Genomic DNA, 16,545 nt, shown 5'->3' on the forward strand with positions numbered 1-16,545 from the left:
AGTAGTTCCAGGTTTTTCTTTTTCTTTTTTTTGTTTTTGTAGATTCTTTGGGATTTTCTACATAGACAGTCATGTCATCTGTGAACAAAACAGTTTTATTTCTTTCTTCCCAATTTGTATATCTTTTCTTTCCTTTTCTTATCTTATTGTATTTCTTATGACTTCCAGTACAGTGTTGAATATGACTTATGAGGTGGGGCATCCTTCTGATCTTAAGGGGAAGGCGTGCAGTTTCTTACTGTTAAGTACCAATAATGTTAGGTTTTCTGTAGATGTTCTTCATCTGAGGAAGTTCCTCTCTATGCCTAGATTGCTGGGAGGTTTGTTTTTTTTCTTAAATCGGTGACGGAGATTGAGTTTCAAAAAACGCTTTTCTGTATCCAGTGATAAGACCATGTGATTTTTCTACTTAGCATGGTGGTGGTGGTATATTACATGGCTTGATTTTGGAATGCTGAAGCAGCCTTTCTTTCTTTTTTTTTTTTTGAGAGGGAGTTTCACTCTTGTTGCCCAGGCTGGAGTGCAATGGTGCGATCTCAGCTCACCGCAACCTCCGCCTCCTGGGTTCAGGCGATTCTCCTGCCTCAGCCTCCCGAGTAGCTGGGATTACAGGCACCTGCCACCATGCCTGGCTAATTTTGTATTTTTAGTAAAGATGGGGTTTCTCCAAGTTGGTCAGGCTGGTCTCGAACTCCCGACCTCAGGTGATCCGCCCGCCTCAGCCTCCCAAAGTGCTGGGATTACAGGCGTGAGCCACCGCGCCTGGCCTTGAAGCAGCCTTTCATACCTGGTGTATAGTTGTTTTCATATATTGGCGGATTTGATTCCCTTAATATTTGTTGTGGATTTTTGCATCTGTATTCATGAGAGGTATTGGTCTGTAGTTTGCCTTTTGAAAAATATATTTAGCTTATTTTGGTATTAGGATGATACTGACCTCATAGAATGAGTTAGGAAGTATTCCCTCTGCTCCTGTTGTCTGGAAGAGATTGTAGATAATTGGTATAATTTCTTAAATGTTTGCTAGAATTCACCAGTGAAACCATGTGAGAATGGAGCTTTCTTTTTTGGAATATTAATAATTATTGATCAATTTTCATATACACAGGCCTATTCAGATTATTATTTTATGTGTAAATTTTGGTAATTTGTATGTTTCAAGGAATTGGTCCATTTTATCTAAGTTGTCAAATTTTTAGGCATAGATTTATTTATAATAATCTGTTATTTTCCTTTTAATGTCCATGTGATTTGGTAGTGATGACTCTTCATTCAAATCTGATGTGAATAATTTGTGTTTTTTTTTCTCTTGGTTAATTTGGCTAGAGGTTTATCAGCTTTATTGATTTCAGAGAAGCAGCTTTTGTTTTTACTGTTGATTGTTTTCAGTTCATTGATTTCTACTGTAATTAAAAATTTTTTTTCTTCTCCGTGTTTTAGGCTTAAGTTGCCCTTCTTTCTTTTCTTTCCTAAGGTAAAGCGTAGATTATTGATTTTACGTCTGTTTTCTAATAACGCACTTGATGCTATAAACTTTTCTCTAAGTGCTGCTTTCATAGTATTGCACAAGTTTTGACTTGTATTTTTATTTAGTCCAAAATATTTTAAAATTTCTCTTCAGACTTCTTTGACTCATGTGTTATTTAGTAGTTTGTTGTTTATTCTCTAAACATTTTGAGATTTTCCAGCTATGTTTTTGTTACTGATTTCTATTTTTATTCCGTTGTGGTATGATAGCATACTTAGTATGATAGCTACAAATTTATTAAGGTATATGTTATGGCCCAGTTGTGGTCTATCTTGGTAATTGTTCCATGTAAGCTTGAGAAGAATGTGTATTCTGCTGTTACTAAAGTATTATATAAATGTCAAGTAGATCCAGTTGCTTGATGGTATTGTTCAATTCATAGATACCCATACTCATTTTTTTTTTTTTTTTTTTTTTGCCTGCTGTATCTATCGGTTACTGAAAGGGGCTGTTAAAGTATCCAACTATAGTAGTGGATTTGTCTATTTCTGTTTGCAGTTATATCAGTATTTTCCTCATGTATTTTGATGCTCTCTAGTTTGGTACATTCATATTAAGGATTGTTATGTCTTCTTGGAGAATTTTGCATTTTGTAATGCTATTCTTTATCCCAATGATTTTCCTTGTTCTGAAATCTGCTTTGTCTAAAATTTATATAACTACTTCAACTTCCTCTTGATTAGTGTTATCGTGGTATAACTTTCTCCATCCCTTTACTTTTATCCTATCCCTTCCCTCCCTGCCTCTCTCTCTCTCTCTCTCTCTTTCTCTTGCTTTGCTTTGCTTTCTATTTATTTATTAATTATTTTTAGATACAGTCTTGCTCTGTTGCCCAGCCTGGAATACAGTGGCACAATCATGGTTCACTGCAGCCTCCGCCTCCTAGGCTCAAGTGATCCTTCTACCTCAGCCTTCTGTGTAGCTGGGACTACAGGTGTGCACTGCCATGCCTGGCTAACTTTTTGTATTTTTTGTAGAGACAGGGTTTTGCCATGTTGCCCAGGCTGGTCTCAAACTCCTGGGCCTCAAGTGATCCTCCCACCTCAGCCTCGCAAAGTGCTGGGATTACAGGCATGAGCCACCACACCTGGCCCATTCCTTTATATTCATTTTTTTAAATCTACTCTGATAATTTCTTTTAACTGGTGTATTGAGGCCATTCACAGTTAAAATGATATTAATATGGTTGTATTAATATGAACCATGTTTATAACTGATTTTCTATTTGTTGTACTTACTTTTTTTTTTTAATCCCCTCTTTTTCTGCCTTCTGGTTTTAACTGACCGTTTTACAGGATTCCATTTTCTCTCCTGTTTTAGTGTCTATTATACTTGTTTTTACTTTTTTTTTTTTTCGGTCATTGCCCTAGAGTTTGCAGTGTACATTTACAACTTATCTAAGTACACTTTCAGATAACTCTATACTGCTTCTTGAGGAGTGTAGGTAACTTTTACTAGAATTTTTGAACTCCTCCCTCCAGTCCCTTATAACGTTACTATTATTCATATTGCTTATCCATATGCTATACTCAGTCAATAATAGTTACTATTATTATTTTGAACAGTTATCAATTAAGAATAGGAAAAATAGATTTTATCTTATTTATTCCTTCTCCAATGCTCTTTTCTTTCTGTAGATCCCAGTTTCTTACCTATATAATTTTGCTTTCTCTCTGAATAACTTTTTAAAGCATTTTTAAAGGGCAGGTCTACTGGTGACAAATTCACTCAGCATTTATCTGAGAAACTCTCCTTCAGTTTTGAAGGATCATTTCACTGAGTAACTTTGAGGTAGAGTTTTTTTTTTCTTTCAACATTTTATAAATATTTCACTCTACTTTCTTACTTGCATGGTTTCTGACAGGACATCAGAGGTAATTCTTATCCTTGTTCTCTATAGGTAAGGTGTTTTTTTTCCTCTGATTTCTTTCACAATTTTCTCCTTGTGTTTAGTTTTGTGTAGTTTGAATATGATGTACTTAGGTGTAGATCTTTTGGTATTTATTCTGCTTGGTGTTCTCTGAGTTTCCTGGATATGCAGTTTGGCACCCTTAATTTTGAAAGATTCTTTGCCATTATTCTTTCAAATATTTCTTCTCCCTTGTCTCACTTTTCTCTTCGTATTCCAATTACATATGTTACACCTTTTGTAATTTTCCCATAATTCTTGGATGTTCTGTTTTGCTTTTTAAAAATCTTTATTTTGCCGGGCACGGTGGCTCACGCCTGTAATCCCAGCACTTTGGGAGGCTGAGGCAGGCGGATCACAAGGTCAAAAGATCGAGACCATCCTGGCGAACGTGGTGAAACCCCGTCTCTACTAAAAATACAAAAAAAAAATTAGCCGGGCATGGTGGTGCACGCCTGTAATCCCAGCTACTCAGGAGGCTGAGGCAGGAAGAATTGCTTGAACCTGGGAGGCGACAGAGGTTGCAGTGAGCCAAGATCACACCACTGCACTCCAGCCTTGGCGACAGAGTGAGGCTCCGTCTCAAAAAAAAAAAAAAAAAGAAAAAAAATTTCTTTTTTCCTCTTTCCATTTTAGTTTTGGAAGTTTCTACTGACATATCTTACAGCCTAGTGATTTTTTGCTCAGCCGTGTCCAGTTTACTGTCGAGTCCATTAAAAGCATTCTTCATTTTTGTTACAGTGATTTTGATTTCTAGCATTTTCTTTTAATTCTTCCTTAGAGTTATGTATGCTTACATTACCCATCTGTTCTTGCGTGCTGTCTACTTTTCCTATTAGAGCCCTTAACATATTAATCACAGTTATTTTAAATTCCCTATCTGATAATCCCCAAGTCTGTGCCATATCTGAGTCTGGTTCTGATGCTTACTTTGTCTCTTTAGACTATGCTTTTTCTTGCTTTTTGGCCTGCCTTGTAATTTTTTTAAAGCTGGATATGATATATTAGGCAATAGGAACTGAATAAATAGGCCTTTAGTGTAAGGTTATATGTTAATCTGTCTAGAAGCTAGGTCATGTTTAATGATGTAGGTATAGATGCCAGAGGCTTCAGTTTCCTCTAGTGTCTTTGTTATTTTATTTTTCCTAGTCTGTTGTCTGTGGGTTCTCCTAAGAACTCCTTTATAAATAGTGAGTCTGTGTCTTGCAACTCTTTCAGTTGTAATTCTCTGTTAATGTACTGGAGCTCTGTTGACATGATGGGAAGAGTATGGCGAAGGGAAGAAAGTGTTCTATAATCTCATTCTTCTGTAAGACCTGAGTCTTTGGCTACAACCTTCAGAAGTGTTTCCAGCCACCCCTTCCCCTCCTTTTCTTCTGTTAGATGAAACAAGAAGGCTAGAGGGACTGTCTTTGGCTGATTTCCTTTCTCCCTGGACACCAAGGCTCTGGTAAATTTTCTCTTGGACTGTTGACCTTTGTTATGAAAAACATTCTGGCCTTATTTCAAAATGGTTACTTTCTTCCTCTCCCTACCTAAAAGAAGAGGAGATTTTTATTAGATCTTACCCCTGGGTGTATTTCAAATTAATTTTCCTTGTGTCTTACACAAAAGGGGAGGAGTTTTTTCTTGGGTCTTCATAGTCAGAACCTGGTGAGATTTCCTGGAGGTAAAACTGCAAGAACTTAGAGGGCCTCCTAAGATTTAGTCCCCAGGAGTTCTCATTCACAAGCTAGTCTCAGTTAGCCTTTGTCAAAATTATCATTTAAGTTTTCTTACTAGTGTATGATTCCAGTGCCTTCTGCTCCAGGTACTGCTGATCTTGGATGTGATTCTTTGTATTTGCCTGTTTCTCTAGATTTCAGGCGATTGGTTCACCCTCTGACCTCAATTCCGTAAATCCAAGAAATTTGCTGATTTTCAATTTGTTAGGGTTTTTTCTTTTTTTCTTTTTTCTTTTTTTTTTGAGATGGAGTCTCGCTCTGTCGCCCAGGCCGGACTGCGGACTGCAGTGGCGCAATCTCGGCTCACTGCAAGCTCTGCTTCCCGGGTTCACGCCATTCTCCTGCCTCAGCCTCCCGAGTAGCTGGGACTACAGGCGCCTGCCACCGCGCCCGGCTAATTTTTTGTATTTTTAGTAGAGACGGGGTTTCACCTTGTTAGCCAGGATGGTCTCGATCTCCTGACCTCGTGATCCACCCGCCTCGGCCTCCCAAAGTGCTGGGATTACAGGCGTGAGCCACCGCGCCCGGCCAGGGTTTTTTCTTAATGTAAGGACAGGAGTGATGGTATCCAAGCACTGTATGGGTTGATGCTGAAACTGGAAGTCCTGTTTACATTTTAAAATTGGAAATATCTTGTCCAGTTTATAAATAATATTCAGCAAGAGGTTTTTTAACTTTCCTGTGAACCATTTTCTTAGCTGAAATGACTCATTCCCAGTTATTTTCATCCCTTTGAATTTCAAATCTCTGTATTTTCATATGCTTAGTAAGAACTTTTTCAGAACAAAATATTTGGAAAACTTAAGAACTTTATGTAGTTCTTGCAAATGGCTACTAACTTTACCCTAAAGAAACTAGAATTATTACACATTTTGATTTCCTTTTCTCCCCTACAGCATTGTTTTTTTTTTTTAACCTTCTGTAAACCATGCTCAAGTAGTTCTAGGGATTATTTTCTTCACTTATTTCACCCCACTTATTTTTGAAGAAGAACTCAGTTTTCTAAGGCACTTTGAAATCTCTAGAGACTAAGCACGGCTTAAATTTGAAAAACTAATGAGAATAAATGTGGAACTCTTATGCTGCCAATGGTTTATTTTCAATTAACCTTGAAGAATGTAGTAATTATAAACTACAGATCGTGGTGACTTTAGCTTAATAGGATTAGTTTGAGAATCTGTGTGATAGAGGACAATTTGGCTAAAATGTGTTATTTAAGCAACCGAGAAAGTAGTGTGTGTGTACTTTAAAGCCTTATAATTTGATTACTGGCTACAAATTTGCATTTTGGTAGGCTTTAGTTCTTATCCTTGGATAACAGTTGTAACTAACCTCAGTCATTTGAGACATTATAAATTTCGTTAACCTTGCTTCTTTTTTAGGGTTCATTTTAAGTTTTATTTTTCTCACTGAACGTACTGTGAGAAACAGCCATTAAACCAAGAAACAAATTAGCAGTATATTTAAAGATCGCTTATTAGTTAGCAGATTAATGTGTTTAATAAATATTTTCCTCTTTTCTCATTTGATTAAAATGAATATTTGTCTTTGAGAATTAAATATATTTTTAAAAGAATTAAAATGTTAAATAGAATGTAATTTTTTTTGTTTTTCTCTATAAATGTAATTTTAATATACTAAATAAAATGTGTTTTAAAATGATTTGCCGTACTGAAAGGATTTGGTTGAAAATAATTAATTTTTGCTGTGTAATAATCAATTAGCTGTGGCCCATTTTACAATAAGATCTATTTGTGTAGCATGCTGTGAATTAGAGACAGAAACCTTTTACTATGCTTTTGCTTAGAGACCTTTATTATAAAGAAGTAAGGGCCGTAGAGTGGAAATGGATAAAGACTAGCAGGTCTTCAGGAGTGGCATGCTTATGAGTTAAGCACCATGCCAGGTTCCACCACCCTTAGCAGATTAGTGGGTGGTATCAGTGTTGCTCCTCCCAAAATGTTTTTTTAAGAACTCTTCATGTATTATGACAGTACCCTAGAAGAAACCCACAAGAATGAACACAATGTATAGTAATATAGTCTTAACAAAATAGCTTCCATGTGCTAACAATTCAACTGAAGATAGATGGTCTATGTTCAGTAAATACATATTTAAGTTGGGACCCCTATTGTCAGGGACTTGACCTCCAATTCCCAGATAATGAGGGAGCAGCAGCTCATTTTTTGTCCTGATCTTACTACTTCATGCTATCTGGGCTGGCAGATACCCTTGGAAAATGCCATTTCATTCACTAAAGCTTCAGTACCACAGTGCCAGGATTGATTGCCTGTTCCTCTCTCCAGAGATTCTCAGGACCAGCCCCATCATTCTTGACATCCCTTACTTTTTGTCACCACCAAAACTCACTGGCCATCTGTTAGCACAGAATACCCATCCTTGTGCTGCTCTGTAGGTTCCTCAGTCTGATCCAGTTTCCTCCAACCCTCCCACTGGCCCCTAGAACTCTTGAATAATTTCTCCCATGGCCTCCGTCTTGCCCCAGCATCACAGTGTAATCTCACTTTCTGTCCCTGGTTCTCTGCTGCTGCCAAATGGATGCCTGAGGGTAGCCCCTGCTCTGGCATCAGTCTCAGGCTGTGCTGTTTCTTCCTTTGCCTACTACCTGGTAACCTCACTGCCTGCCTTTTAGTTCCTTGAATACAGTGAGGTCTTCACTCTTAAAAATCTTTGCACAGGCTGCTTCCTTCATCTGCAGCAATTTTCTCAGTGTTTTGACCTGGCCGACCCTATCCAGTCTGATCTGGGTGTCTTCGCGTTGTCCTCTGCTGGGGCCTCCTATTTGTTTTCTTCTTGGCACTTAATTAAATTTGAAGTTGTATATTCACTTGCTCACTGAGCCTTTTTTCTGGATTCTATGATATATATTTTTCCTCATATTTCTGAAATTGTGATGTATCTTAAACTGGATTTCTTGATTCCTTTCTGAATGGTAGGTAAAATAATGGTTTATCTTACAATTGTCTTACATTTAATAAAATATTGCACTTTTAATTATTGTTTCCCCCGGTTGATTGTGAGTTCCACACGTATAGGAATTTCATTTTACTCACCAATGAACCAGTGCCTAGCACAGTACCTGGCACCTAGGAGGCTCTAAATAAATAGTAGTTGAATGAATATCATTATCTATTTGGGAGATTTTGGCCCTAATTTTCTCAAGATGAATTAGTCAGTGTGTAAGTATGAATTGTTAATTCAGTTTCTGTTGTTGAATCATTGTTTTCGAGATTCCTTTATTCTGGAATTGAAAGAGACCTTTAGATTTGTCTATTTTGTTCCTCCATCTATGTAACTTGCCCTATTATAGGTATATGTACATCCTTGTTTAGAAGTACTTACTCACCTTGCATGAAAATGAATTCACATAAACTTCTACCTGGTGTGAGCAATTTTCTTTCATTAGGGAGAAGGAGCGAGGAAGGTACCAAACAGCAGCAGACTTTTGAACTTGAGACAGTTTTGGCTGCTTGAACTTAACTTTTTTCATTTTACTTAGTCCCCCAATGAGTGCAATCATTTGGCATGCCTACTTCACTTTTTTTAAGTGAACTAACAGCGAACAGGCAACGTTGGTGACTGGAGTGCCTCAGGCACCTCCTAGAGAAGGTTCAAGCTTAGTCCCCAGCTGGAGGTAAGGTGTGGTTCTCAGTCCTTTTCATTTCCCCAATCCTGCTCCTGAGTACTGCAGTTGAGTCAGCCTGGGATAATGAGCAGTTTGCCTTTCATTGAACACTCAACAGCCTGGTTGTGAAAATGTCTGCTATGACCAGTCTTTGCCAATCTCCCATGTATGCTTCTGGGTTCTGCAGATAATACTTGTGTCTCTTCCCCCACTCTTGTACCTGACACACATGTTCTACGTGATGTGAAAAGAAGAGAAGTTGAACAGGCAATTGGGAGAACTCGAAGTTGCCCAAATTGATGATGTCAGTGTGGAGATGCACTTGCAGGGAATTGAAATAAAGAAGTTCAAGTGTGGCCTTGAGAAACATGGAAGGGTGAGAATCCCAGGGAGCTTGCTGCGAACGTGTACCATTGGTGTCATCTTCAGGCCTCTGTTTGAGGTGGCCTTCCTGATGATCCCGTGGTCTGTCTATGGATTCAGCCTAAGTGTGGTTTACACTTGCAAACGAGATCTTTCCCCACATTAAGTGGACTGCTTACTCTCTCGCCCCCGGAGAAAAGCACCTTCATCATCTTCATGCTGGTGGTGTCCTTGGTGTCTCTTGCCTTGAACATCATTGCGTTATTCAGTGTCTCATTTAAGAGCATTTAAGGATCATGTGAAGGATCAGGAGAGTGATACACCTGGCCTGCAGAGTCCCTCCAATGGCTCCATATCAACTCTTCCTCTCTCCACCATGTCCCCTCCTGGGGACAAGCTAGTTCCTGGAGAAAGAAACAATTCCTCTTGCTGTAGGCACAACAAGGAAGTGAGCAAAAACCCTTCTAGTTACAGTGCATAGCAAGATTGAATGGAGCAGGCAGGAAGTACCCCCTCTGACTCCCAGTCTTTTGATTTCCCTGCTGATAAACAGAGTTCTTAAACAAAAGCAAAAACCTAGCTACTGGGCACTAGCCATGGTAGGCCAGCAGCCATCCTGCAGAGCCAGTAGTCATGCCAGCAGCAGCCTGATGACCTAGAGATCAAGATGCATACTTGGAAGCATTATGATTCTGCTTGATTGTTTAAGAGAAGGAAGTCGCAGTAGAAAGCGCACCTTTGCCCCAGTGGAGGTGGTACTCAAAAACCTCAGTCGTGAGACTTAGCAGACACAAAGACATTAGACTACCAGGGTTCCTGTACAATGAGAAATGCTAATTTGCTTAATATTTGATAGTAAACTGCTGTCATTTTTAGCTTTATTGCATGCAATGTAGACCTAGTTCATCATATTACAAGTTCTAGAGAGTATTATTTATTCAATACAGGTTTTTTTTTTTTTTTTTTTTTTTTTTTTTTTTGAGACGGAGTCCCACTCTGTTGCCCAGGCTGGAGTGCAGTGGCGTGATTTCCGCTTACTGCAACTTCTGCCTCCCGGTTCAAGTGATTCTCCTGCCTCAGCCTCCTGAGTGGCTGGGATTATAGACGTGCGCCACCACCCCTGGCTAATTTTTGTATTTTTGGTAGAGACGGGGTTTCACCATGCTGGCCAGGCTGGTCTCGAACTTTTGACCTCAGGTGATCTGCCTGCCTCAGCCTCCCAAAGTGCTGGGATTACAGGCGTGAGCCACCGTGCCTGGCCTCAATAAAGTTTTAAGAAAGCAACCTGTGTGTCTCCCTCCTGAGAGCTTCTGGCTGCACCGATCTTTCCTAGACTTTTAAACTCTTCATTGGCACATCTTCATTTAAGCAAAATAGGCTAGAATCAGAATTTTAGAAATGAAATTGCAGTGACTACATTACAGAAAGTTTTAGTATTAACATTTTTAATTATATGTAGCAGGATCACACATATACCCATTACTTTCAAATGTGCCAAAAATGTAGCTTTTTTTTTTTTTTTTAACTGTTGTACTTTTCATCAGAAGCTTCTTCCCACCACAGGGCGCTGGAGGGAAGGAGAAGACACAGACAACTTAAACATTAAACCTGCCCATCCAGCATCTTGCTGTGACAGTTTAAACAGTCTCATTTGGAAAACTCAGTCTCTTGGCTAAATTTCCTTCTCATAAACCCTTTTATGAGCATGAGGAATAATCACAGTTATTTACTAATGAAATGTGTGTGCCTATTGGATACTACAAAACTCCTGAAACTTTTGAATCAGATTGGACGCTGCTGTCCTCACTTCCTGTTTCACATTCATTTTCACATATATCTTGCTTTTTTTCCCTTGAACTTTTAATCTTGAGATAATTATAGTTCACATGTAGGTATAAGAAATAATAGATTCCTTATATCCTTTGACCAGTTTTTCCCATTAGTAACATCTTGCATAATTACAGTATAGTATCGTAACTAGAAAATGGACATTGATGTATTTCCATTGACCTTATTCAGATTTCACCAATTTTATCTGCACTCCTGTGTGTGTATGTTTAGTTATGTGTAATGGCATCACTTGTGTAGATTCACATGTCCACCACAGTCAAGCTACAGAACGGTTTTATCACAGGGATCCCTTGTGCTGCCTTTTTATAGCCACAGCCACACTCTTGCCTTCCCCTCTTTCTAACCCCTGGCAACCACTAATGTGTACTTCATCTCTATAATTTTGTCATTTCAAGAATGCTATTTTAGTGGAATGATACAATATTTAACCCTTTGAGACTGGCTTTATTCACTCAGCACAACTCCCTTGAGATTCACCCAAGTTTTTTGTGTGAACCAATAGTTTGCTCTTTTTTATTGCTCTTTTTTAGTATGCTGTAGTATAGAGGTGCCAGAGTTTGTTTACCTTTTGAAGGATCTTTAGATCATTTCCAGTTTTCATTTCCCTGTGTTAGGTGCTCAAGAGTGCAGTTGCTGGGTTGTATGGTATGTGAATGTAATGCTTTGTAAGAAACTGGTGTATACTTTTCCAGACTGGCTGTACAATTTTACCTTCCCATCAGCAATGTGTGAGGAATCTAGTTTCTTCACATGCTTACCGGCATTTTGTATTATCACTATTATTATTTTTATGTTAGCCATTCTAATAGTTGTGTAGGTGATCCCATTGTAGTTTAAATTTGTATTTCTCTAATGGCTAAAAATGTTGAACACCGTTCCTGTGCTTATTTGGCATCTGTCTATTTTCTTCAGTGAAGTACCCGTGCCATTTTTCCAATTTTGAATTGGATTGTTTTATTATTGTTGAGTTTAAGTTCTTTATATATTCTGGATTTAAATCTTTTGTTCTATATGTTTGAAAATATTTTCTCCCAGATTATAGCTTGCTTTTTCATTCTCTTAACAATGTCTTTCATGGACCAAAAATTTTAATTTTGTTAAGGTCATTTATCAATTTTTTTTTTCCTATGGACTGTGCTTTTGGTGTCAAATCTGAGAAATCTGCCTGGCCCTAGATCCTAAAGATTTTCTCCTTTGGTTGTTTCTAAAAGTTTTATAAGCTTACATTTTACATTTAAGTCCATGATCTATTTTGTCAATTTTTGTACAAGGTGTGAGATAAAGGCCAAAGTTCTTTTTTCTTCTCCCTTATGGATGTCTAGTTGCTCCAGCACCATTCATTGAAAAGTCTATTCTCCCTCCATTGAGTTCCTTTTGCAGTGAAAAATCAGTTGGGCAGATTTGTGCATCTCTAATTCTGGATTCTCTGTCCCTCTTCTAGTTTCTAGATGAGACTGTATAAGATTGCTGTTAATTCTTCCTTAAGTGTTAAAATTCTCCAGCAAACCTATTTGAGCTTGCAGATTTCTTTTATTGGAAACTTGATAATTATAATTACATATTCAATTTCTTTAATAATTACATGACTCTTAAAGTTGTTTATTTCATCTTGGTTAACTTTTGGTAGTTTGATTTTCAAGGAAATTGGTCCATTTCTTCTAAGTTGTCAAATGTAAGAGTGTAAAGTTTGTAGTGTTCCTTTATTTATTTTTAATGACTGCAGGATCTGTAGAGATCTTCCTTGTTTTGTTCCTGATACTGATGATTTTTGTCTTCTTTCTTTTTATCTTTACCAGTCTTGCTAGAAGTTTATCAATATTAATTGTTCTTTTTGTGGAATCAGCCTTTTGCCTCATTGATTTTCTGTTTTCAATTTCATTTATTTCTGCTTTTATCATGATTATTTCCTTCTTGCTTTGGGTTTATTTTCTTTTTCTAGTCTTGAGAGAAGAATTTATCTTACTGATTTGTAACCTTCTCTCTTTTTAAAAAATGTATACATTGAATACTATAAATTTCCCTCTCAATACTGCTTAAGCTGCATCCCACATATTTTGATACATGTTGTATTTTCATTTTCATCAAGTTCTATGAAATTAGAATTTCCTTTGAGACTACTTCTTTGACCCATGGATTATTTAGAAATGTTAGGTTTCATTTCTAACTATTTGGAGATTTTCCTGTTTTCTTTCTCTTACTGATATTTAATCGGATTCCATTGTGGTCAGAGAAAATACTCTGTATGATTTCAGCTCTTTAAAATTTGTTAAGGTTTGTTTTGTGGCCCAAGATGTGTTCTGTCTTGGTGAATATTTTATGGGCTCTTGAAAGAAACATGTATTCTGCTGCTGTTGGGTATAGTATTTTATATATGACAATGAGACCCTGTTGGGTTTCATTTTCTTATTTTTTTGTCTTCAGGAAGTTTTAGGATTCCATCTTATTTATACAGTTCATTAGTATATCAGTTTGTATTGTGTTCTTAGTTACTGATCTAGGTATTAAAATATACATTTGTATTTACCACAATCTATTATCAGTGTTTTACCACTCAAGTGAAGTGTAGAAATCTTACTCTCCTTTAGACCCTTTTGCCCTCCCCACTTAAAAAATATATATGTCTTAAGTATTTCTTCTACGTACATTGAGCACCACATCAGATGATGTTATAATTTATAATTTTTGTCTCAACCATCAAATCTGATTTATGAAACTCATGAGCAAAAGGATAGTCTTATATTCCCCACCTTTTATTTTTGTAGCCTGTTCTAATATTTTTTTCTTAAATTCCAAGCTTCTTTGGTTATCTTTTACTTTCTTGGTTGTTGTTGTTGTTGTTGTTGTTGTTGTTTGAGACAGGGTCTCATTTTGTCACCCAGGCTGGAGGGTCACCCAGTGGTGCAATCACAGCTCACTGTAGCCTTGTGACTTCCCGGGCTCAAGCGATTCTCCTACCTCAGCCTCCTGAGTAGCTGGGACCACAGGTGTGCACCACCACACCTGACTAATTTTTGTGTTTTTGGTATAGATAGGGTTTTGCCATGTTGCCCAGGCTGGTCTCCAACTCCTGGGCTCAAGCAGTCCACCTGCATTGGCCTCCCAAAGTGCTGGGATTACAGGAGTGAACCACCACGCCTGGCTGGTTATCTTTTACTTCCTATTTAGAAAACTACCTTTAACCATTCTTTAAGGGTAAGTTTGCTAGCTACTTCTCTTTGTTTTCCTTCATCTGCGATTGTCTTTATTTCTCTTTCATTCCTGAATGGTATTTTTGCTTGATACAGGATTTCTGATTGACAATTCTTTTCTTTTCTTTTTTCTTTTCTTTTCTTTTCTTTCCCCTTCCCCTTCCCCTTCCCTTCTTTTTTTTTGAGACAGAGTCTTACTCTGCCTCCAGGCTGGAGTGCAGTGGCGTGATCTCGGCTCACTGCAACCTCTGCCTCCCAGGTTCAAGCGATTCTCCTGCCTCAGCCTCCCGAGTAGCTGGGACTACAGACACGCACCACCACGCCCAGCTAATTTTTGTAATTTTTGGTATAGACGGGGTTTCACCATGTTGGCCAGGATGGTCTTGATCTCTTGACCTCGTGATCCACCCGCCTCAGCCTTCCAAAGTGCTGGGATTACAGGCGTGAGCTACCACGCCCGGCCGACAGTTCTTTTATTTAGTGCTTGAAAATTGTGCTGTTTCCTTTTAGCCTCTGTGGTTACTGATGAGAATACACTGTCATTCAAATTGTTTTTCTCCTATAGGTAAGGTGCTGTTTTTTTGTTTTTTAGTTTTCAAAAGTTTCACTATGATGTGTCTTGGCTGGAATTACTTTGGGTTTATCTTGTTTGGAGTTTGCTTAGCTGCATGAATCTGTAGGTTATGTCTTTTGCTAAATTTGGAACTTTTCCGTTGTGATTTCTTTGAATGTATTTTCAGCTCTACTCTGTTTGTCCCATCCTTCTGAACCTCCAGTGACATGAATATTAGGTCTTTTGTTATAGTGCCACATGTCTCTGAGTCTCTGTTCATTTTTCCCCCATCTGTTTCTTTTCTGTTGTTAAGATTGGATTATTTCTATTCTGTCTCTAAGTTCACAGATTCTTTCCTCTGTTTTCTCCATTCTGTTGTTTAGTCCATTCACTGAGTTTTAAATTTCAGTTATTTGCTTTATTTTTCAATTCATAAGGTTTTTTTGTTGTTGTTGTTCGTTTTTGTTTTTTTGAGACAGGGTGTCACTCTATCACCCAGGCTGGAGTGCAGTTGCACAGTCATTGCTCACTGCAGCCTTCACCTCCCTAGGCTCAGGTGATCCTCCACCTCAGCCTCCCAAGTAGTTGGGACCACAGACGCGCCCAGCTAATTTTTGTTTATTTTGTAGAGACAGGTTTCACCATGTTGCCCAGGCTCGTCTCCAACTCCTGGACTTAAGCAGTCCTCCTGTCTTGCCTTCCCAAAGTGCTGGGATAACAGGTGTGAACCACCATGCCTGGCCTAAAGTTTTTTTTTTGTATCTTCTATTAATTTGTTGAGAGTTCCTATATTTTCTTATTTGGTTCAAGTATGCTTGTAATTACTCTAAAGTATTTGTATGATGGCAGCTTGGAAATTTTTTCTGTGATGATTCTAACATCTCTACAGTCTTCGCTGGCACCTGTTAGTCTTTTTTGCATGTTGAGATTTCCCTACTTTTTAGTATGATGAATAATTTTCTACTGAAACCTGGACATTTTGGATGTTATGTCATTAGAATCTGGATCTTATTTAATCTCCTGTTTTTCTTGGCCTTCTTTGACACCCCTTCTGGAAAGGAGGGGAATGGAAGTTGAGTTTTCTAATTCCACCTCCATTGACACCCACTGAGAGGGGCTCCTTGCTGCTGCTTTGTTGGGTGGGAATTCCAGCTCCCTAGGCCTTTGCTGACCACTGTGGCTGGAGGGCCAGGAGTATCTTGTGACCACTCCCCACGTTGGCCTCCACTGACACCAGCCTGGCGGGGGATTAGACATGTTCTCTTCGCAGCATTTGCTGGCATGGGTAGGGCCCCAGTTTTCACTGTTTTGTGGCTGGGGTAGAGTAGTTATTGTCTAAGGTCTTTTGTCCTGCTAGGCTGTTCTTTTCCTGGTCCTTTAGCTGGAGAAGAGAAGGCTTTTGTTGGGGCTCTTTGTCTGTGCCCATGGGCTCTTCTGGGTTCTTTATTGAAGTATTTTTATTAGGGTTGCTTTAAAATCTCTGTCAGATAATTCCAGCACCTGCTTCATCTCAGTGTTAATGTCTCTTAATTGTCTTCTTTCATTCATTCAGGTTGTGATTTTCATGGTTCCTAATATGATGATTTTTTTTTTTTTTTGTATCCTGGTCATTTTGGATATTGCAAGACTCTGGATCCTATTTAATGTGTGTTTTAGCAGGTAGCCACCCAGTTGAGGTATAGGATAAGGGCAAATGTGTATATTCAATTTCCCTCTTGGTCCCATTGATACCACCTCCGCAAAAGCTCCACTTTTACTCACGCTGCCTCATTGTAGATGGGTG

The 16,545-nt window shown here is 38.4% G+C and overlaps 1 protein-coding gene and 1 pseudogene across 3 annotated transcripts in view; both read left to right on the forward strand.

The window, feature by feature from the left end:
* Positions 1-16,545, forward strand: part of CDKL5 (cyclin dependent kinase like 5) — a 228,022-nt gene that overhangs the window by 100,707 nt on the left and 110,770 nt on the right. The window lies entirely within an intron of this gene.
* On the forward strand, positions 8,552-9,475 carry GJA6P (gap junction protein alpha 6, pseudogene; annotated as a pseudogene).

The sequence above is a fragment of the Homo sapiens genome, chromosome X (assembly GCF_000001405.40).
Source record: "Homo sapiens chromosome X, GRCh38.p14 Primary Assembly".
Classification (NCBI taxonomy): Eukaryota; Metazoa; Chordata; class Mammalia; order Primates; family Hominidae; genus Homo; species Homo sapiens.